Source organism: Homo sapiens, chromosome 12 (genome assembly GCF_000001405.40).
Source record: "Homo sapiens chromosome 12, GRCh38.p14 Primary Assembly".
NCBI lineage: Eukaryota > Metazoa > Chordata > Mammalia > Primates > Hominidae > Homo > Homo sapiens.
This window is the reverse complement of record NC_000012.12, coordinates 6,691,580-6,713,318: the sequence shown is the minus strand read 5'-3', so window position 1 is coordinate 6,713,318 and position 21,739 is coordinate 6,691,580. Positions and strand designations below refer to the sequence as shown.

Below are 21,739 nucleotides of genomic sequence, written 5' to 3'. Positions count from 1 at the left end.
CTGAGGTCAGGAGTTCGAGACCAGCCTGGCCAACATGGTGAAAACCCATCTCTACTAAAAACACAAAAATTAGCCAGGCATGGTGGTGGGCGCCTGTAATCCCAGCTACTCAGGAGGCTGAGGCAGGAGAATCACTTGAACCCGGGAGATGGAGGTTGCAGTGAGCCGAGATTGTGCCACTGCACTCCAGCCTGGGCGACAGAGCAAGACTCTGTCTCAAAAAAAAAAACAAAAAACAAAACAAAAAAAACCACTACAAATCAATAAGAAAAACACAAGCAACTCAAATGATCAGGCATTTCCTAGAAGAGGAAATTAAAAAGGCTAATAAGCATATAAAAAGATGCTCAACTGCATTAGTAATTAGAGAAATGCCAAAAAAATCCACACGGAAATACTATTGTATACCACTAGATTGGCAAAAATTAAGAAGTCTAAAAATACTAGCATTAGAGAGAATGTAGATCAATCAGTATTCAAATATTGATGAAAACTGGCCAGGCACAGTGGCTCACGCTTGTAATCCGAATACTTTGGGAGGCCGAGGCGGGCAGATCACCTGAGCTCAGGAGTTTGAGACCAGCCTGGCCAACATGGGGAAACCCTGTCTCTACTAAAAATACAAAAATTAGCCAGGCGTGGTGGCGTGCGCCTGTAATCCCAGCTACTCAGGAGGCTGAGGCAGGAGAATCGCTTGAACCAGGGAGGCAGAGATTTGGGTGAACTAAGATTGTGCCACTGCACTCCAGCCTAGGTGACAGAGCAAGACTCCACCTCAAAAATAAATAAATAAATAAATAAATAAAACTTTAAAAAGTTGGTGAAAATTGAAAACAATTTGGCATTCTTTCTCAAAGCTTTCTTTTTTTTCTTTTTTCTTTTTTTTTAGACAGAGTCTTGCTCTGTCACCCAGGGTGGAGTGCAGTGTTGCAATCTCGGCTCACTGCAACCTCTGCCTCCAAGTTCAAGCAATTCTCCTGCCTCAGCCTCCTGATTAGCTGGGATTACAGGCATGTGCCACCATGCCTGGCTAATTTTTTTGTATTTTTAGTAGAGTTGGGGTTTCATCATGTTGGCCAGGCTAATCTCGAATTCCTGACTGCAAGTAATCCACCCAACTCAGCCTCCAAAGTGCTGGGATTAGGGGCGTGAGCCACCGTGCCCAGCCAAAGCGCCCAGCCAAAGCTGATTTTTCTTTCTTTTCTTTTCTTTTTTTTTTTTTTGAGACAGGGTCTTGCTCTATCGCCCAGGCTGGAGTGCAGTGGCATGATCTTGGCTCACTGCAAACTCCGCCTCCCAGGTTCACGCCATTCTCCTGCCTCAGCCTCCTGAGTAGCTGGGACTACAGGCACCCCCCACCGCGCCCTGCTAATTTTTTGTATTTTTAGTAGAGACGGAGTTTCACCATGTTAGCCAGGATGGTCTCAATCTCCTGACCTCATGATCCACCCAACCTCAGCCTCCCAAAGTGCTGGGATTACAGGGGTGAGCCACGTGTCAGGCCAGCAACGTTTATAATAGCAAAAAAAAAAAAAAAAAAAAAAAACCAATTCATAAATACGTCAACAGAATAGACAAAGTATGATATATTTGGTATATTCACTCAGTAGCACTTTACCTTCCAGTGAAAACATATGAACTGCAGTCACATGGAACAATATGGCTAAATCCTGGAAATGTAATAGTGAGTGAAAAAGCAAGTAAACAGTGCTAGAAGGCTACATATAATATTTTATTTATTTATTGAGACAAGGTCTGGCTCTGTGGCCCAGGCTGGAGTGCAGTGGTGCAATCTCGACTCACTGCAGCCTCAACCTTGCACGCTCAAGTGGTCCTCCCACCTCAGCCTCCAAATAGCTAGGATTACAGGTGCGTGCCACCATGCCTGGCTAATTTTTGTATTTTTTGTAGAGATGGGGTTTTGCCACATTGCCCAAGCTGGTCTCCAACTCCTGGACTCAGGCAATCCACCCATCTCATCCTCCCAAAGGGCTGGGATTACAGGTGTGAGGCACTGCGCCTGGCCATATTTATTTATGTTTTAAGACAGTCTCGCTCTGTCACCCAGGTTGAAGAGCAATGGTGCAATCATAGCTCACTGCAGCCTCAACTTCTGGGGCTGAAGAGATCCCCCCATCTCAACCTCACAAGCAGATGGGACCACAGGCATGTGCCACCACATGCGGCTATTTTTTTTTTTTTTTTTGGCAGAGACAGAGTCTCCTATGTTGCCCAGGCTGGTCCATCTTGAACTCCTGGGCTCAAATAATCCTTCTGCCTCAGCCTCCCAAAGTCCTGGGATTACAGGTATAAGATGCCATGCCCAGCCAGTTATTTTTTAGAGATAGAGTCTAGTTCTGTCGCCTATCTGGGAATGCAGTGTTGAAATCATAGTTCACTGCTGCCTAGAACTCCTAGGCTCATGGGAATCCTCCTGCCTCAGCCTCCTGACCTGAGTAGCTGGGACTATGGGCGTGTGCCACCAGCCCAGCTAATTTTTGATATTATTATAGAGGCTATGTTGCCCAGGCTAATTTTTTTTAATTTTTTATTTATTTATTTATTTTCGAGATGGAGTCTTGCTCTGTCACCCAGGCTGGAGTGCAGTGGCACGATCTTGGCTCACTGCAACCTCCGCCTCCCAGGTTCAAACAATTATCCTGCCTCAGCCTCCTGAGTAGCTGGGATTATAGGTGCCTACCACCACACCCGGATAATTTTTGTATTTTTAGTAGAGATGGGGTTTCACCATGTTAGGCAGGCTGGTCTAGAACTCCTGACCTTGTGATCCGCCTGCCTCGGCCTCCTAAAGTGCTGGGATTACAGGTATGAGCCACCACACCCATCCATTTTTATTCTTTTACTTATTTTTTATTTTTTTTTTTTTTTTGAGACGGAGTCTCGCTGTCACCCAGGCTGGAATGCAGTGGCACAATCTCGGCTCACTGCAACCTCTGCTTCCTGGGTTCAGGCGATTCTCCTGCCTAAGCCTCTTGAATAGCTGGGATTGCAAGCACGTGCCACTATGCCCAGCTAATATTTGTATTTTTAGTAGAGACGGGGTTTCACCATGTTGGCCAGGTTGGTTTCAAACTCCTGACCTCGTAATCCGCCCACCTTGGCCTCCCTAAGTGTTGGGATTACAGGCGTGAACCACCGTGCCCAGCCTAATTTTTATTTTTGGAGACAGTGTTTTGCTTTCTCCCAGCCTGGAGGGCAGTGGTGCAATCATAGCTTACTGCAGCCTCAAACTCCTGAGCTCAAGCAATTCTCCCACCTCTGCCTCCTGAGAAGCTGGGAATACAAAAAAAAAATTAAAATAAAAAAACACCAGAGTTTCACTCGTCACCCAGGCTGGAGTGCAATGGCACGATCTCGGCTCACTGCAACCTCCACCTCCCAGGTTCAAGCGATTCTCCTGCCTCAGCTTCCCAAATAGCTAGAATTACAGGCACCCACCACCATACCTGGCTAATTTTTGTATTGTTAGTAGAGACGGGTTTTCACCATACTGGCCAGGCTAAGTCTCGAACTTCTGACCTCAGGTGATCTACCCACCTTGGCCTCCCAAATTGCTGGGATTACAGGTGTGAGCCACCACACCTGGCCTAATTTTTTAAATTTTTCATAGAGATGACATTTTACTATGTTGCCCAAACTGGTCTGAAACTCCTGAAGTTAAGCAATCCTCCCACTTTGGCCTCCCAAAGTGCTGGGATTACAAGTGTGAGCCACTGTGCCTGCCCGCTCTATTTTTCTGATTTATGAAAAAATGGAATGCTTCATGAAGGTGCGTGTCCTCCTTGTGGAGGGGCCATGCTAATCTGTGTCATTCTGTGTCTGGAATTGGTGGGTTCTTGGTCTCACTGACTTCAAGAATGAAGCCGTGGACCCTGGCGGTGAGTGTTACAGCTCTTAAGGTGGTGCGTCTGGAGTCTGTGCCTCCCGATGTTCAGATGTGTTCAGAGTTTCTTCCTTCCCGTGGGTTCGTGGTCTCGTTGGCTCAGAAGTGAAGCTACAGACCTTCACGGTGAGTGTTACAGCTCTTAACGCAGTGCGTCTGGAGTTGTTCGTTCCTCACGGTGGGCTCATGGTCTGGCGGGGCTCAGGAGAGAAGCTGCAGATCTTCGCAGTGCGTGTTACAGCTCATAAGAGCAACGCGCACCCAAAAACTGAGCAGCAGCAAGATTTATTGCAGAGTGAAAGAACAAAGCCTCCACAATGTCAAAGGAGACCAGAGCGTGTTGCCAATGCTGGCTCAGGCAGCCTGCTTTTATTCTCTTATCCAGCCCCACCCACATCCTGCTGATTGGTAGAGCCCAGTGGCCTGTTTTGACAGGGTGCTGATTGGTGCATTTACAATCCCTGAGCTAGATACAAAGGTTCTCCACGTCCCCATCAGATTAGTTAGATACAGAATATGGACACAAAGGTTCTCCAAGGCCCCACCAGAGCAGCTAGATACAGTGTCGATTGGTGCACTCACAAACCTTGAGCTAAACACAGGGTGCTGATTGGTGTGTTTACAATCCCTGAGCTACACATAAAGACTCTCCACGTCCCCACCAGACTCAGGAGCCCAGCTGGCTTCACCTAGAGGATCCCACGCTGGGGCTGCAGGTGGAGCTGCCTGCCAGTCCCAGTGCCCTGCGCCCACTCCTCAGCCCTTGAGTGGTCGATGGGACTGGGCGCCATGGAGCAGGGGGCGGCGCTCATTGGGGAGGCTCGGGCTGCACAGGAACCCACGGAGTGGGTGGGAGGCTCAGGCATGGCGGGCTGCAGGTCCCGAGCCCTGCCCCGCAGGAAGGCAGCTAAGGCTCCGTGAGAAATTGAGCGCACCGCCAGTGGGCCGGCACTGCTGGGGGACCCAGTACACCCTCCGCAGCTGCTGGCCCGGGTGCTAAGTCCCTCATTGCTCCGAGTGCGGGGCCCACCAAGCCCACGGCCACCCGGAACTCCAGCTGGCCCGCAAGCGCCCCACGCAGCCCCGGTTCCCGCTCGCTCATGCCTCTCCCTCCACACCTCCCTGCAAGCTGAGGGAGTGGGCTCCAGCCTTGGCCAGCCCAGAAAGGGGCTCCCACAGTGCAGTGGTGGGCTGAAGGGCTCCTCAAATGCCGCCAAAGTGGGAGCCCAGGCAGAGGAGGTGCCAAGAGCAAGCGAGGGCTCTGAGGACTGCCAGCACGCTGTCACCTCTCAATTCCAATGTTCTTATATGTGTTGCCAAAGTTAGCAGTAGTAGTTTTTTTTGTTTTGTTTTTGTTTTTTTTTTTTTTGAGACGGAGTCTTGCTCTCGCCCAGTCTGGAGTGTAGTCTTGTGATCTCAGCTCACTACAACCTCTACCTCCCTGATTCAAGCGATTCTCCTGCCTCAGCCTCCCAAGTAGAGGGACTACAGGTGACCGCCACCACGCCCAGCTAATTTTTTTTTTTTGTATTTTTAGTAGAGACGGGGTTTCCCCACGTTAGCTGGGCTGGTCTCGAACTCTTGACCTCAGGTGATTCACCCGCCTCAGCCTCCTAAAGTGCTGGACTTACAGGCGTGAGCCACCGTGCCTGTCCATTTTTACTTTCTTTTATTTTTATTTATTTATTTATTTGTTTATTTATTTGTGTGTGTGTGTGTAATGGAGTCTTGCTCTGTCACCCAGGCTGGAGTGCAGTGGTGCAATCTTGGGTCACTGCAACCTCCGCCTCCTGGGTTCAAGCAATTCTGCCTCAAACTCCCAAGTAGCTGGGATTACAGGCGCCTGCCACCACGCCCGGCTAATTTTTTGTATTTTTAGTAGAGACGGGGTTTCACCGTGTTAGCCAGGATGGTCTTGATCTCCTGACCTCGTGATCCACCCGCCTCACTCTCCCAAAGTGCTGGGATTACAGGTGTGAGCCACCGCGTCTGGCCTATTTTTATTTAAAAAAATTTTTTTTTTAAATTTTTTGTTTTCAGATGGAGTCTCGCTGTCACCCAGGCTGGAATGCAGTGGCACAATCTTGGCTCACTGCAACCTCTGCTTCCCGGGTTCAAGCGATTCTCCTGCTTCAGCCTCCCAAATAGCTGGGATTACAAGCACTCGCCACTACGCCCAGCTACTTTTTGTACTTTTAGTAGACGGGGTTTCATCATACTGGCCAGGCTGGTCTCGAGCTCCTGACCTCCTGATACGCCCACCTTGGCCTCCCAAAGTGCTGGGATTACAGGCGTGCGCCACTGTGCCCAGCTGAAAACTATATTTTAAAAACAGGGAGCCAGGCATGGTGGCTCACACCTGTAATCCCAGTACTTTGGGAGGCCGAGGCGGGTGGATCACCTGAAGTCAGGAGTTGAAGAACAGCCTGGCCAACATAGTGAAACCCTGTCTCTACTAAAAATACAAAAATTAGCTGGGTGTAGTGGCACACGCCTGTAGCTCAGGTACTTGGGAGGCTGAGGAAGGAGAATCACTTGAACCCAGGAGGCGGAGTTTGCAGTAAGCAGAGATAGCGCCACTGCACTTCAGTCTGGGCGACAAGAGTGAAACTGTCTCAAAATAAAATAAAATAGGCCAGGCGCAGTGGCTCACACCTGTAATCCCAACACTTTGGGAGGCCGAGATGGGTGGATCGCCTGAAGTCAGGAGTTTCAGACCAGCCTGACCAACATGGAGAAACCCCGTCTCTACTAAAAATACAAAAATTAGCCGGACTGGTGGCTTGCGCCTGTAGTCCCAGCTACTTGGGAGGCTGAGGCAGGATAATTGCTTGAACCTGGGAGGTGGAGGTTGCAGTGAGCTGAGATCATGCCACTGCACTCCAGCCTGGGCAACAGAGCAAGACTCTATCTCAAAAAAATAAATAAAATAAAATAAAAATAAAAACAGGGGCTAGGAGCTGTGGCTCATGCCTGTAATCCTAGCACTTTGAGAGGCTAAGGTGTTAGGCCAGGTGAGGTGGCTCACGCCTGTAATCCCAGAACTTTGGGAGGCCGAGGCGGGTGGATCATGAGGTCATGAGATCGAGACCATCCTGGCCAACATGGTGAAACCTTCTCTACAAAAAATACAAAAATTAGCCAGGCGTGATGGCATGCGCCTGTAATCCCAGCTACTTGGGAGGCTGAGGCAGGAGAATTGCTTGAACCCGGGAGGCAGAGATTGCAGTGAGCCAAGATCGCGCCACTGCACTCCAGCCTGGCAACAGAGTGAGACTCTGCCTCCAAAAAAAAAAAAAAAAAAAAAAAGAGGCTAAGGTGTTGAGTTGAGGCCAGGAGTTGGGGAGACCAGCCTAGACAACATAGTGAGACCCCCCCACCTCTATAAAATAATAATTTAAAAATTAGCTGGGCTGGTGGTGCACACCTATAGTCCCGGCTACTCTGGAGGCTAAGGCAGAAGGATGTGCTTGAGCCCAGCAGTTCCAAGCAGCAGTGAACTGTGATCACACCACTGCACTCCAGCATGGGCGACACAGTGAGACCCTGTCTCAAAAAGAAAAAAAAGTAAATTACAAAATTTAAAGAGTTTAGGCTGGGCGCGGTGGCTCATGCCTGTAATCCCAGCACTTTGGGAGACCGAGGTGGGCGGACCACGAGGTCAGGAGATCCAGACCATCCTGGTTAACACGGTGAAACCCCATCTCTACTAAAAAATACAAAAAATTAGCCGGGAGTGGTGGCAGGCACCTGTAGTCCCAGCTACTTGGGAGGCCACTCCAGTCTGGGTGACAGAGCGAGACTCTGTCCCAAAAAAAAAAAAAAAAAGTTAAAGAGTTTAGATTTAAGTTGATACAAAAGAGAAAGAATTGGAGAAGTAGAGGAGATGGTGAATAGAGAGCATCTTCTTGGAAAGCTTTCCTGTAAAGGGAAGCAGAGAAGGGCAGAGGCTGGGGCCGGACAGCCAGTTGAGGAGGATATTTTAAGCTGGGAGTAATTACAGCGTGTTTGTGTGCTGCTGGCAATGATCAAGTAGACAGGAGGAGGGCCGGGCGCGGTGGCTCACGCCTGTAATCTCAGCACTTTGGGAGGCCGAGGCGGGCGGATCACGAGGTCAAGAGATCGAGACCATCCTGGCTAACACGGTGAAACCCCGTCTCTACTAAAAATACAAAAAATTTGCCGGGCGCGGTGGTGGGCGCCTGTAGTCCCAGCTACTCGGGAGGCTGAGGCAGGAGAATGGCGTGAACCCGGGAGGCGGAGCTTGCAGTGAGCCGAGATAGCGCCACTGCACTCCAGCCTGGGCGAAAGAGCGAGACTGTCTCAAAAAAAAAAAAAAAAAGTAGACAGGAGAAGAGTGATGCTGCAGGAGAGGGAGGGACATTTGCAGGAGTGATGACTTTGGGTGGGTGGCAGGGTTTGAGATTCCCCACAGTAGGTGCAGTGGGGCTAAGGGTGTGCTGGTGGGAGTGGGGAAGTTTTCTCCTGCTTGTTTCCATTTTCTCAGAAAAGCAGCAAGCAAGATCATCAGCTGAGAGAGAGAAGGGTTCAGAAGAAGAATATTGGATATTTGAGGACAGAAAACAGAAATTCACCCTAAATGAGCCCAGTCACGGTGGCTCACGCCTGTAATTCCAACACTTTGGGAAGCCAAGGTGGGAGGATTGCTTGAGCTCAAGAGTTCGAGACCAGCCTGGCCAACACGGCGAAACCCCGTCTCTGAAAATAAATAAATTAATTAAAAATGAGCCCAGAGATAGTGATGAAGATACCAGCAGAGCCAGAAACAGGACAAGGATGTATAGAGACTGTATAGAGACTGTAGAGTGTGGGTAGGTCCTCAAATTCATCTGAAGTCACATTTATCACTGCACTGTCTCCCTACCAGACTGTAAGCTCCACCAAGACAGTGATGACTTCATTCTTGCTCTCCGCTGTATCCCCAGCCATGGCACGGTACCTGGCGTGTCACACCATTTAAATGACCATATTTGTATGACCAGCCTGGACAACGTGGCAAAATCTCATCTCTGCCAAAAAAAAAAAACAAAAACAAAAAACAAAAAAAAACAACCACCACCACAAATTAGCCTGGCATGGTGGCACACACATGTAGTCCCAGATACTTGGGGGCTGAGGTGGGAGGATTGCTTGAGCCAGGAGGTCAAGGCTGCAGTGAGCCATGATTGTGCCACTACACTCCAGCCTGGGCAACAGAGTGAGACCCTGTTTCAAAAAAAAAAAAAATGTGGAAAGAATGAATGAATCAAGAATAATAGAAATAATTAATGACCCAAGGTCCTCAGTGTCAAAGGCACTTACACTGAACATGAATATTCACTTGATAAACTTGGTCCATGCCAGTGACATGAGTTCACCTGGAGCATATCCTCAGGATGCTCTGGGGCTTAAGGGGCCCAGGAGGTGGCAGGAGTTGCGCACCTGACTCACATGGCCCCTTGGCCGGGTTCACATCCAGTGTGCCTTGTCTTTCCCCCACCACTGGGAGACACTAGGAGGACGGCTCACTCGCTGCTGTTCTGACCTCAAATGAAGGGCTGTCAGGGACACGCAAGCAAGAGGGCAGCTGCTGCAGATGCTCGTCAGAACAGCAGGCTTCCTTCCTTTCACGAGGCAGGAGCGCCAGGCTGACAACGGGTCACAATGCAGCAAATGAAGGAGGAGGATCTGAAGGGGTGTGGACATGAGCAAGGGCTCAACCTGAAGCATTTGGCGTAGGGCAGAGATCAGTAGGGGGCAGGCAGCTAGAGAGGAATGGCTGGAGGACAGCAGAGGAGAGAATTAAAAGAGTTCAGAGTGGGCAGGGGTCCCAGAAGAAGTTCATTAAGTGGTACATGTTGAGCATCTACTACATTCCAAGGCACTGCAGTAGGAGTAGGGATACACGGTAAACAAGACAAATAAGATCTTGGCTCTCTAATGTATAGGGGGGCAGGAGAGAGCAGACAGTAAATAGTAAACACATATATGATCATTTCAGAAAGTGATGAGTCGGGCCAGGCGTGGCGGCTCACGCCTGTAATCCCAGCACTTTGGGAGGCCGAGGTGGGAGGATCACCTGAGGTCAGGAGTTCGAGACCAGCCTGGCCAACATGGTGAAACCCCGTCTCCACTAAAATTACAAAAATTAGCCAGGCATGGTGGTGTGCACCTGTAATCCCAGCTATTTGGGAGGCTGAGGCAGGAGAATCGCTTGAACCCAGGAGGCAGAGGTTGCGGTGAGCCAAGATTGCACCATCGCACTCCAGCCTGGGCTGCGAGAGCAAAACTCCATCTCAATAAATAAATAAACAAATAGAAAGTGATGAGTTGGAAAGACAATGAAACATAATGAGGAAACAGAGTGGGGGCCACTTTAGATTTTGAGCAGGGATGAAGGAGCCAACCAGGTGAAGATGGGGAGAGGGGTGGCAAAACATTCCAGGAAGAGGGAATCAAAAGTGGAGGGGCCGGGCGCAGTGGCTCACGCCTGTAATCTCAGAACTTCGTGAGGCCAAGGCTGGTGGATCATTTGAGGTCAGGAGTTCAAGACTAGCCTGGCCAACATGGTGAAACCCTGTCTCTACAAAAAATACAAAAATTAGCAGGGCACTAGTGGGCACTGCCAGAGGGGTGGGAGGGCTGGGAAGGCTGGAAGGGCCCCCCTGCATGCACACGCTAGCTACTTGGGAAGCTGAGGCAGGAGAATTGCTTGACCCTGGGAGGCGGAGGTTGCAGTAAACTGAGATCGTGCCATTGCACTCCAGCCTGGGCAACAGAGAGACACACTGTCTCGAGAAAAAAAAAAAGTGCAGGGATGCTAAGAGAATGACTTCTGATGTTACAGAACAGCAAGTAGTCTGATCCAGCAGGAGCACTGTGTATGAGGTGGGTACAGGCTGGTGGGCTTCTCCTTACAAGGAGTTCAGATTTATTCCAAGTGTAATGAAAAACCACTCGAATATTTTAAGCAGAGAAGAGCATGACATGCTTTTGATTTTTAAAATATTATCAATATAGGAAAAACTAGTTTGTAAAGACAAGGGCAGAAGCAGGGACCAGTGAGGAAGCTATTATGATAATCTGGATGAGACATGATGGCTTAGACCAAGACTATAGCAATAAAGATAGAAGGAGATGAATTCGGGATATATTTTGGACGCAGAGCCCACAGGACTTGTTGGTGAATTAGATACAGGGAGAGAATCAGTGAAAAAAAGGGGAAGGGAGGGATGTTTCCTAGATTTTTAGCCTGAACAACTAGTAGTTGTGAAGCCTCAGGATGGGGATCACTGGGAGAAAAATGGATTGGGGGTGGGGGAATTCAAGACATCTATTTTAGTCAAGTTAGCTTTGCATGGCTATTAGACATCCAAGTGGAGATGTCAAGTAGGCTGTCGGATAAATGAGTCTGGCGCTCTGGATATAAATTTAGGACTCACTGACATTTACATAGTATTTAAGCCCTGGGACCGGATGAGATCACTGGACAGAGAATGTGGAAAGAGAGAATGGCCAAGGACTAAGCCCTAGGAGGCTCCAACATTTAGAGGTCACCCGAGGAAGACTAAGAACAGTCAGTGAGGTTGGAGGGAAATGAGGAGAGTGTGGTGTCCTGGAAGTGCCCTGAGGAAAAACAGCGTAGTGTGGTAGAGAGGGATGGGATCCAGGTGGTGGGAGAAGGGGCAGGAGAGGCTACTTTTGATAGAGACATTAGGGAAGGCCTCCCAGAAGGCGTTGGATCTAAGTGAGACTGGAATGAAAACAGTAAGTCATTGTGAAAAGCCAGGGAAATGTATTACTGAGGGAACAGCAAGTGCAAAGGCCCTGAGGCAGGTTAAACCTGTCTCCAACCAGGAAATCCACCAGGTCCCATGTGGCTGAAGCATAGAAATCTTTAGGAAAGGCAATCAGAGAGCCACCTAAGAGCCAGGTTATATAGGGTCTTGTAAGTCACAGCACGGAGTCTAGGTATTCCAGTGCTGGAAAAGCCCAGGAATTTCGACGTGATCCACTTAATGCATGGTAGCAGGGCCAGAGTGAAATAGGGGATCAAGCTGTGGGGATAATCCAAAGATGGTGCAAGGTCCTTCCTCCCCAGTCCTTTCCTCCACCCCTTGCCCCCAGCCTTGACCTCAGGCACTTTCTACAGCGGGCAAAACCAAGTTGGGGGACAGGCAGTGGTGACTCACGCCTGTAATCCCAGCACTCCGGGAAGCTGAGCGGGAAGGATCGCTTGAGCCCAGGCGTTCGAGACCGGGCTGGGCAACACAGCGAGACCTCATCTCTACAAAACACAATACAAAAGAACAAAGTTGGGAATGCAGAGCATTGAGTGACTCAGAATCTCAGAAACTGACTGAGGCGACCATGGGTGTCCCTGGAGTTGGGGTGAAGGAGGTGGGGAGACTGCCATCAGAACCCAGGGAAGCGGACGGTCGCTGGACCCTGCCAGCCTCTTCAGCCCTCCACCTGGGACATAGCCTGGCTTGACTCCTGCAGCGCGGCAGCAGGAGGGTTAAACCGTGCGTGGCCTCCGGCGCGGGGGGGAGGCGGAGACGGAGACGGAGCGGTCCCAGCCGCCGCGCCGAGCCCAGCCGAGCCGAGCCGAGCCGAGCCGAGGCGAGCATCTCCCACCGCCGCCGCCCCGCGCCCCAGGCGCCCGCCCCCCACCCGCTCCAGCGCCCTGCCGCGGGCCAAACCTCCCCACCATGCCCCGCACCCCGCCCGCTCCTGCGACCCCCCAGCCCCGCTCAGTCCCGAGCGCCCGCAGTCGTCGCGCCGCCGCGCCAAGCATGCAGGTGAGTGAGAGGGACCCCCACGCCCCCACCCGCGGGGAGCCCGGCCCTGCCCTTCCCGGCTCCGCGCCCTGCGCCTCCTGCCCCTCCCGACGCGGTCCCTCGCCCGGGACAAGGCCTCCAGCCTCCCAGCGCCCCTTCCCCGAAGGGCTCTCCATCCCTCCGCGGTCCTGGCTCGCTCCCGCCCTCCCTGGCGCAGCCGTCCCCGTCCCCGCGGCTGCCTCCATCCCGCCTCGGCTCGGCGGGCGGCTCCGCGCAGTCTCCTGCTTCGGGTCCCCAGTCCGCTCTCGGCACTCCCTGCCTCGGGGTCCCTTCGCCGACCTCCTTTTCCTCGTCTCCCCCCACTCTCGCCGCTCTCCAGCCCTGTGCGGGGAGTGCGGGCCTGCGGGATGGGTGGGATGGGGGCCACGCTGGGGCTGGGGCCCGGCTCCCGCACCCCGAGGCTCCTGCCCCACCCCCAGCTCGTCTCCTGCGCACAACAGGTCGGTGAGAAGCTGGGAGAGGGGTGGGGGTGGCGCGCCAGCCCGGGGACTGCGGGCTTCCTGGAGGGGGCGGCTGAAGCTGTGCGGGGCCCAGGGACTGGGTTGGCGCTGGCTGGGGGTGGGGATGCACAGGCGGAGGGGCGATAGTCCTAGAGTCAGCTGGCCACAGATGCGCCCTGGGAGCCCTTCTCCGCTTCACTGGTTCGCTCTACACGCCTCGCTCCCTCCCTCTAGCTTTCTTCCTTTCCCCTCTCTCTCCCTTCTTCCCACCATGCCCCCATCCCTATGTCTTTCGGTATCTCCACATCCCTTTACATTTGGGGGAGCAATTCCGAACTCCTCCATCTTTGCTGCTCCCGCCTCTGCTTCCCAGCCCGTTCCTCGTGTCATTTTTCCTTAAGCATTTATGTTCTCTCCTTCCCCACTTCCTTTCTCCCCATCCTGGGCTTTCCCCCCTTTTCTCCCATCCCCTTACTCTCCACTCCTCTGGCTGTCCTGCCTGGACCGCTCTCTCCTTCTCCTCCTGCCCCTTCTTCCCCTGCACCTGTGACCCCTTCATCCTCTCCGTTTCCCCTCCCTGACCTTTTCTCTCATCCTTTCCTCCCTTCGGCATCCTCCACAGTTCGAGTCTTCTGTACCCACTCTCCTCCTCTCTTCCCAGTTCTCTCTTTTTCAGGACTGCCTGCTCTCTCTCACCCTGCACTCCAGGCCAGCTTCCTCTTCACATTTCTCCTCTCTCACTCTTAACCAGCCTTCCATCTCCCAGCCCTTCACCCCTTCCCATCTCTCCCACTGCCTGCTTCCCCACGCCCTTCCCGTGACTTTCCCATCTTGTTCCCTTGTTGTTCTCTGGGAAGATTCAATGGGCAGATTTATTTATTTTATTTTTTGAGTCGGAGTCTCGCTCTTGTTGCCCAGACTGGAGTGCAATGGTGTGATCTCAGCTCACTGCAACCTCCGCCTCCCAGGTTCAAGGGATTCTTCTGCCTCAGCCCTCTGAATAGCTGGGATTGCAGGCGCCCACCACTACCCCCGGCTAATTTTTGTATTTTTAGTAGACACGGGGTTTCACTATGTTGGCCAAGCTAGTCTCGAACTCCTGATCTCAGGTGATCCACCCGCCTTGGCTTCCCAAAGTGCTAGGATTACAGGCGTGAGCCACTGCGTCTGGCCCATTGGGCAGATTTAGACCCAGAATCCACAGGAAACGGGTATCCTATCTTCACTCCCTCTGGGGAGCCTGCCCCTCCTGGATCCACCACCCTCAGCTCTGAGAACACACCCTTTCTCTTTCAAAACCAACCATCCCGATTTTCCCAGGATTCTTTACCCAGGAGAGCCACATTTGAGGGGGTGGTTTCTTCCTGACTCCACCTCCCTTCAGAGGGCACCTATGCACTTGGATGATTAAACATTAAGAGCAAAAATTATATTCTGTAGTTTTTCTCCCACTCACCTCTCTCTTTCTGTCTCTTTCCTTCCATCCCTCCAGCTCTTCATTCCTTTCTCCTGAAGATGCAGACTCCTGGGGCTAATCATAAGACAAATGCCTGGCACTGCCAGAGGGGTGGGAGGGCTGGGAGGGCTGGAAGGGCCCCCCTGCACGTACACACACTCACTGGCTTGCTCAGATTGACTTCCCCATCCCTCCCCCTACCCTCAGACTCCCTCCCTAGCGGTAGGTGCTCAAGGAATCACAAGGTTCTTGGCTCTAAATTAAGATCCAAGAAAAGCCTGGAGCTGTGGGCAGAGGAAGTGAGAAGAAGGGAAATCAGAGAAGCCAGAGTAGACCCTGGGGTGGAGAGGTAACAGGGACCTGAGAAGTTGTAGATGGGGCTGGAGTCTGGTCAGGCAACCACGCTGGAGTTTTTCCCCCAAAAGGATGCTAACAACCAGTGAATCCTGGGTGCAGCCGCATAGCTGGCAGCTGGGTGGCCTGGGAGGGCAGATGCGGGTAGAATTGGTGGATGAATTAGCTGGGGAAGTACACAGGGCAGGGCTGGGGTGTGACGGCCCCCTTTTTCTCCCAGTAAAGGCTGAAAATCTGGGTCACAGCTGAGGAAGACCTCAGACATGGAGTCCAGGATGTGGTAAGTTTGGCCCAGCAGAGGGAGCCTGGAGACCACATTCCCTGGGGCCATGACTCCTTCCTTCCTAGACCCATCCAGAGCCTTCCCATCCTGAGGGCCATCCTCCTTTGGAAGATGGGAAATGAGGCGAGTCTTCCCAAGGCCCACCTGCTTTCACAGGGAAACCTGGAGGTTTCTGGTGTGAACCTGTCCCTCCCTCACATAGGCCCACAGTAGGCCTGTGTCTCAGCCACGCTCTCTCCCTTCTTGCAGGCCTGCGCTGCTGCTGTCCCACCTCCTCCCTCTCTGGCCACTGCTGTTGCTGCCCCTCCCACCGCCTGCTCAGGGCTCTTCATCCTCCCCTCGAACCCCACCAGCCCCAGCCCGCCCCCCGTGTGCCAGGGGAGGCCCCTCGGCCCCACGTCATGTGTGCGTGTGGGAGCGAGCACCTCCACCAAGCCGATCTCCTCGGGTCCCAAGATCACGTCGGCAAGTCCTGCCTGGCACTGCACCCCCAGCCACCCCATCAGGCTTTGAGGAGGGGCCGCCCTCATCCCAATACCCCTGGGCTATCGTGTGGGGTCCCACCGTGTCTCGAGAGGATGGAGGGGACCCCAACTCTGCCAATCCCGGATTTCTGGACTATGGTTTTGCAGCCCCTCATGGGCTCGCAACCCCACACCCCAACTCAGACTCCATGCGAGGTGATGGAGATGGGCTTATCCTTGGAGAGGCACCTGCCACCCTGCGGCCATTCCTGTTCGGGGGCCGTGGGGAAGGTGAGTGGGAAAGGCTGGGAGGGATATGACGGATGGGGAGGCTGGGTGAAGACACCAAGGGGCAGAAATAGAGGCCTTGTCTGTTAGCTCCTTCAACAAATGTGTCAGGCACTATACTGGCACAGGATGCAGAGATAAAGACACCCTCTCGGAGTTCAGGTCCACTGGAGCAGACAGACATGAAAGGACTTGGAGAGGAGTCATCGTAATAAATGCTTTAATAGAGGCATGTGCAGCATGATTTACAAAAAAAGAGAAGTGAGAGTCTCCTCCTGCTTGGGGATCAGGACACCTTCAGAGAACTGACATTTGAGCTGGCCCTTGAAAAGAGAGTGGGAGTATTCTGGGCAGAGAATGCCATGAATGAAGGGCACTACCCGGGAGATGTCTTGGCTCAGGGAGTGCTGATGGAGGAACAGGGCCTGTGGTTTGGGAGTTGGGCCATGGCAGAGACTAGGACATCTCCACCCCTTAGTTTCCAGGCATAGTGATAGGTTCTCGCTGATCATGGGGCCTCATCCTCATCACATATACACATAAGATTTGGTGAAATACATTTGGGAAAGTGGAGGAAAAGAGCTGAAAACTCAGGGGAATGCTGGTGATAATAAAGAGTGAGGCTCCAGAGGGGCAGACAGAGCCGGCAGTGTGGATCCACACAGCAATGCCACTCCAGCCGACAGAGCCCACAGCCCAGCCCCCAGCCCCTCTTGGCTCCTACCACCTCGGGGCTCCCTAAAACTTTCTTCCCACCCCAATCAGGTGTGGACCCCCAGCTCTATGTCACAATTACCATCTCCATCATCATTGTTCTCGTGGCCACTGGCATCATCTTCAAGTTCTGGTAAGCTGGGAGGAGGAAGGTGCTGGTGGATGGGGACGGAATGTTTGGCAGTCGAGGCTCTAACCACGAGGGGCAGTGGCAGCAATTTTGCTGGGGGGTGGGTGGGAAATGCTGGATGAAGGCAAGACCTTGGGAAAAGATAATTAAGGATTTGGCTGGGGGAAGACGGTGAGAAATCAGGGCAGATTCTGTCTCCCAGGGAAATACAAGGATAAGGGAGGGCAGGGGAATTATTCCTGTGCATTCCTGGTGAGCCTCCCCTGCCCCTACTTCCTCCAAGACAGAGAAAGCTGACCCAGTCTGCAGAGCCCTTCTTAGGGTTGCCTGGGGGGAGCAAGAAAACCTGGAGCTTTCTTTGCACACATTTAATAATGGATCACTCAGTCCTTCACACTTTACTGAGAGAATCATTAGACTCAGGTGTCCAAGTCATCAGCTTGCTTTGAACTAGAACTAAACCTGCCAGTTGTCTGCTGAAGACAGAAATGACTCTTCTGGGCATGTAGGGGAGAGGACATTGTGGTGGTGGGGAGGGGATATTAATTTTGTCGATCTGGATCAGGTTTGGAGGGTAAGGAGGTTTAGATTACCAAGCTCCCCTAGAGGGCAGGGGAAGTGGCTTTATGGGCACAGAGTCCCAGGGGATTTAGTAGAGAGAACTGTTAAAGGCCAGTTTCTCTGCTATAAGATGTTGGGAGTGACTGGGCGAGGCTGGGGGTGACCACTGGTGCAGGCCCAGGATGGGGGCTACTTGAGTGTGCAAGAGAACCTCTTTTCCTCTGGTACCCCAGCTGGGACCGCAGCCAGAAGCGACGCAGACCCTCAGGGCAGCAAGGTGCCCTGAGGCAGGAGGAGAGCCAGCAGCCACTGACAGACCTGTCCCCGGCTGGAGTCACTGTGCTGGGGGCCTTCGGGGACTCACCTACCCCCACCCCTGACCATGAGGAGCCCCGAGGGGGACCCCGGCCTGGGATGCCCCACCCCAAGGGGGCTCCAGCCTTCCAGTTGAACCGGTGAGGGCAGGGGCAATGGGATGGGAGGGCAAAGAGGGAAGGCAACTTAGGTCTTCAGAGCTGGGGTGGGGGTGCCCTCTGGATGGGTAGTGAGGAGGCAGGCGTGGCCTCCCACAGCCCCTGGCCCTCCCAAGGGGGCTGGACCAGCTCCTCTCTGGGAGGCACCCTTCCTTCTCCCAGTCTCTCAGGATCTGTGTCCTATTCTCTGCTGCCCATAACTCCAACTCTGCCCTCTTTGGTTTTTTCTCATGCCACCTTGTCTAAGACAACTCTGCCCTCTTAACCTTGATTCCCCCTCTTTGTCTTGAACTTCCCCTTCTATTCTGGCCTACCCCTTGGTTCCTGACTGTGCCCTTTCCCTCTTCCTCTCAGGATTCCCCTGGTGAATCTGTGATGCCCCCAATGTTGGGGTGCAGCCAAGCAGGAGGCCAAGGGGCCGGCACAGCCCCCATCCCACTGAGGGTGGGGCAGCTGTGGGGAGCTGGGGCCACAGGGGCTCCTGGCTCCTGCCCCTTGCACACCACCCGGAACACTCCCCAGCCCCACGGGCAATCCTATCTGCTCGCCCTCCTGCAGGTGGGGGCCTCACATATCTGTGACTTCGGGTCCCTGTCCCCACCCTTGTGCACTCACATGAAAGCCTTGCACACTCACCTCCACCTTCACAGGCCATTTGCACACGCTCCTGCACCCTCTCCCCGTCCATACCGCTCCGCTCAGCTGACTCTCATGTTCTCTCGTCTCACATTTGCACTCTCTCCTTCCCACATTCTGTGCTCAGCTCACTCAGTGGTCAGCGTTTCCTGCACACTTTACCTCTCATGTGCGTTTCCCGGCCTGATGTTGTGGTGGTGTGCGGCGTGCTCACTCTCTCCCTCATGAACACCCACCCACCTCGTTTCCGCAGCCCCTGCGTGCTGCTCCAGAGGTGGGTGGGAGGTGAGCTGGGGGCTCCTTGGGCCCTCATCGGTCATGGTCTCGTCCCATTCCACACCATTTGTTTCTCTGTCTCCCCATCCTACTCCAAGGATGCCGGCATCACCCTGAGGGCTCCCCCTTGGGAATGGGGTAGTGAGGCCCCAGACTTCACCCCCAGCCCACTGCTAAAATCTGTTTTCTGACAGATGGGTTTTGGGGAGTCGCCTGCTGCACTACATGAGAAAGGGACTCCCATTTGCCCTTCCCTTTCTCCTACAGTCCCTTTTGTCTTGTCTGTCCTGGCTGTCTGTGTGTGTGCCATTCTCTGGACTTCAGAGCCCCCTGAGCCAGTCCTCCCTTCCCAGCCTCCCTTTGGGCCTCCCTAACTCCACCTAGGCTGCCAGGGACCGGAGTCAGCTGGTTCAAGGCCATCGGGAGCTCTGCCTCCAAGTCTACCCTTCCCTTCCCGGACTCCCTCCTGTCCCCTCCTTTCCTCCCTCCTTCCTTCCACTCTCCTTCCTTTTGCTTCCCTGCCCTTTCCCCCTCCTCAGGTTCTTCCCTCCTTCTCACTGGTTTTTCCACCTTCCTCCTTCCCTTCTTCCCTGGCTCCTAGGCTGTGATATATATTTTTGTATTATCTCTTTCTTCTTCTTGTGGTGATCATCTTGAATTACTGTGGGATGTAAGTTTCAAAATTTTCAAATAAAGCCTTTGCAAGATACTCGAGTCCCCTGGTTCTGCCTTCTGACCCCCGTAGAGAGGAGGAGAGGGGTGGGCAGCTAGGAGGAGGCACAGGATGAGGTGGGGACCCCCTCTAGACCTAAGTCACCTGCCCTCCTCTGACCTGGAGCTGGGGGCCAACTGGGGCTTTAACTTGGGACAAAATGGAAGGGAGCCATCCTGACGAGGAGCAGTGGTACAAGAGAGAAACTAGAATAGAAATCGTGGCTCACTTATTCCTTGCCAGGGAGGGTCAAGAGAGACCAAAAAAAGGGAGACAGAAGAAAAGGAAAGTTACATGGAAGGATAGGAGGTGGATCAAGGCGGAAGAGAGACCTGATAAGACAGACGGAGGGAGAAGGGGGAAAGGAGAAGAGAAAAATGGAGCAATGGAGAAAAGATGAGAGGGAGCCAGCCATCCGAAAGAAGCTGCCCTGCTTGGTTTATTTTCAGCTTTGCTCCCTAACCTGCCCCCACCCACAGCTGCCCCCCAAAAGCTGTGCAGAATCAGAAGCCCTGTGGTTAACTCGTTAGCTTTCCCTACTCTGCCCTCTCAGAGAGAGGCACTGCAGGGGTGTGGGGGTGGGATCAAGGGGTGTTTTTGGGGAGGGAATGCAGGCTGCCCAGCTGGGATCAGTCACCTCTCAGTCCCCAATTTCTAGGTTTGGCTCTTGTAACAGCCCTGTGAAAACCCACACATCAGCCTCTCAGCTGTTGCTAGGCTCTATTGCTATGGTAACCACCCAGGTCCCATCTATCCCCCCTCCCCCAATCTGTGCCCCACTTGCTCCCTGGAAATGCGGTGGCCCCAGGGAGGATAGGGATGATGTAGTGTACAAAAGGGTGGCCTGGGCTGCTCTGGACTGGATATGCCCCCATGCATTTATCTTTCAAGCTAGGTTAGGAATGTCTGTGTGTTGGTAGGTGTGTGCTTTAGGTGTTGGGAGCTTTACTGTGAGCTGAGGGAAGTGTGGCTGAGCCTGTGCAGCACATAATGCTGAGTGCCAGGAAGAGGCAGTGTATTTCTCAGGATTAGAGCAGTGTGTGCATTCAGGGCGTCACACTCCCTAAGAAAAGGACTGCTACAAGGGAAAGAAGCAGAGCTGGGCCAAGGATTGATGAACCAACTCAAAGCAGAGGTGCCCGGCAAACAAGCTTCTGAGGAGTCAACTCACTGGGGGCATGAAGATATCCCAGCAGGTGGCTGATGGGAGAGCGGGCTGGATAAAACCTGAGGGTACAGGATGAGGCATGGATGGTATACACTGTGGGCCGTGAGGGAGGGATCCAGATCCAAGGAGGGTGGGATAGGAAGCTTCATTAACCTTTCCTTCTTTCCCCACAGGAATCTAGTCCTTGTCAGGTGAGGGTGGGGAGAAAAGAGAAGCATTGGCACAGAAGGGGAAGGAGCTCAAGTGCCGGAGAGCACACTGGGCTCTCACCTTCAGCAAGGATCTCTCTTCAAAGGGACAGTGTGACCCGTGGCTCATCCATATGCAAAAGGCAAACATGAAGGCCCCTAATGAAGAGGGAATTAATTACTGCCTGATTAGACCACTGTTTCTCTAAATTTAAATAAATTAAAATACACCAGCAAGGTACTGGAAATCCTCACCTGTTCCCTCTTCCTAAATGTCCTCCTTTCCCCATGGAAAGTCAGAAGGCAGGAAAGACAGAGGAGGAAGGAGACTGTTCCAGACTCTGAACTGTACTAAAAAAATTCTCCCAAATGATACTGCACTGTCACGTTAGCCATGAAGAGTCGTAAGGCCCTGGGGAGCAAGCCCTAACTTTTCTCTCCTGTAGTTGAAACAGAGACTGTGGGGCTTTGAGAGGTCCTCAGAAAGCTGCAGCAGAGTCACTAGCCAAGAAAAAAACAATGGCCATGCTGTCCTTTTGGGAACTGGAAGGTTCTTCGAGGTCACACATCACAGCCACCACTGGAACCAGCGTCTCATCACCATCCTTTCTTTGCCTCCTGAGCTGTGCATCAAATGACTCAGCCAGGCTTCTCTTAGCATTTTTCTGGAATGCTTGCCACTGCGGCTTAGACCAAACCAGGGAATGGGGAAGCCCCCAGGAGGAGGGAGGGATCTCCCAGGCACAGCTTAGGGTGTGGAAGTGATTCAAGATGGAAACAGTATGCCAGCTGGAGAACCCCAGGCTAAAATTAACAGCCCTCCTCCCCCTACGCCCCACATTTATTGTTCTA

The 21,739-nt window shown here is 52.8% G+C and overlaps 1 protein-coding gene and 1 pseudogene across 5 annotated transcripts, besides 2 other annotated features; one reads left to right on the top strand and one right to left on the bottom strand.

The window, feature by feature from the left end:
• On the bottom strand, positions 3,767 to 3,867 carry RNU6-781P (RNA, U6 small nuclear 781, pseudogene; annotated as a pseudogene).
• PIANP (PILR alpha associated neural protein) lies at positions 12,504 to 21,141 on the top strand. Of its 5 annotated transcripts, none has more exons than XM_011520926.4 (6): positions 12,504 to 12,705; positions 15,215 to 15,274; positions 15,527 to 16,032; positions 16,795 to 16,876; positions 17,668 to 17,889; positions 20,873 to 21,141. In XM_011520926.4, exons 2-6 carry the CDS (start codon positions 15,258 to 15,260, stop codon positions 20,892 to 20,894), a joined length of 849 nt encoding a protein of 282 aa, XP_011519228.1. In that variant the 5' UTR covers positions 12,504 to 12,705; positions 15,215 to 15,257; the 3' UTR covers positions 20,895 to 21,141. The 5 variants fall into 5 exon arrangements, with proteins under 5 accessions (XP_011519228.1, NP_710152.1, NP_001230943.1 ...); NM_153685.4 differs by lacking the exon at positions 20,873 to 21,141 and adding an exon at positions 18,262 to 19,528; XM_047428488.1 differs by lacking the exon at positions 12,504 to 12,705 and adding an exon at positions 12,904 to 13,184.
• Positions 13,223 to 13,724: an enhancer, noted in NCBI's record as "H3K4me1 hESC enhancer chr12:6808761-6809262 (GRCh37/hg19 assembly coordinates)". NCBI's record gives its function as "activates a minimal SCP1, AML or CMV promoter by ChIP-STARR-seq in primed H9 embryonic stem cells {active_cell/tissue: H9 hESC(primed)}" and the evidence as "EXISTENCE:reporter gene assay evidence [ECO:0000049][PMID:30033119]".
• Positions 16,428 to 16,537: an enhancer, noted in NCBI's record as "active region_5875". NCBI's record gives its function as "activates an Ori minimal core promoter by ATAC-STARR-seq in GM12878 lymphoblastoid cells {active_cell/tissue: GM12878}" and the evidence as "EXISTENCE:reporter gene assay evidence [ECO:0000049][PMID:35858748]".

Bases quoted from the DNA above. Each gene is read 5' to 3' on its own strand.
- PIANP (XM_011520926.4), top strand. The intron at 16,033-16,794 runs GTGAGTGGGAAA...CACCCCAATCAG, and splicing joins GTTCGGGGGCCGTGGGGAAG to GTGTGGACCCCCAGCTCTAT. The intron at 17,890-20,872 runs GTGAGGGCAGGG...CTTTCCCCACAG, and splicing joins CCAGCCTTCCAGTTGAACCG to GAATCTAGTCCTTGTCAGGT.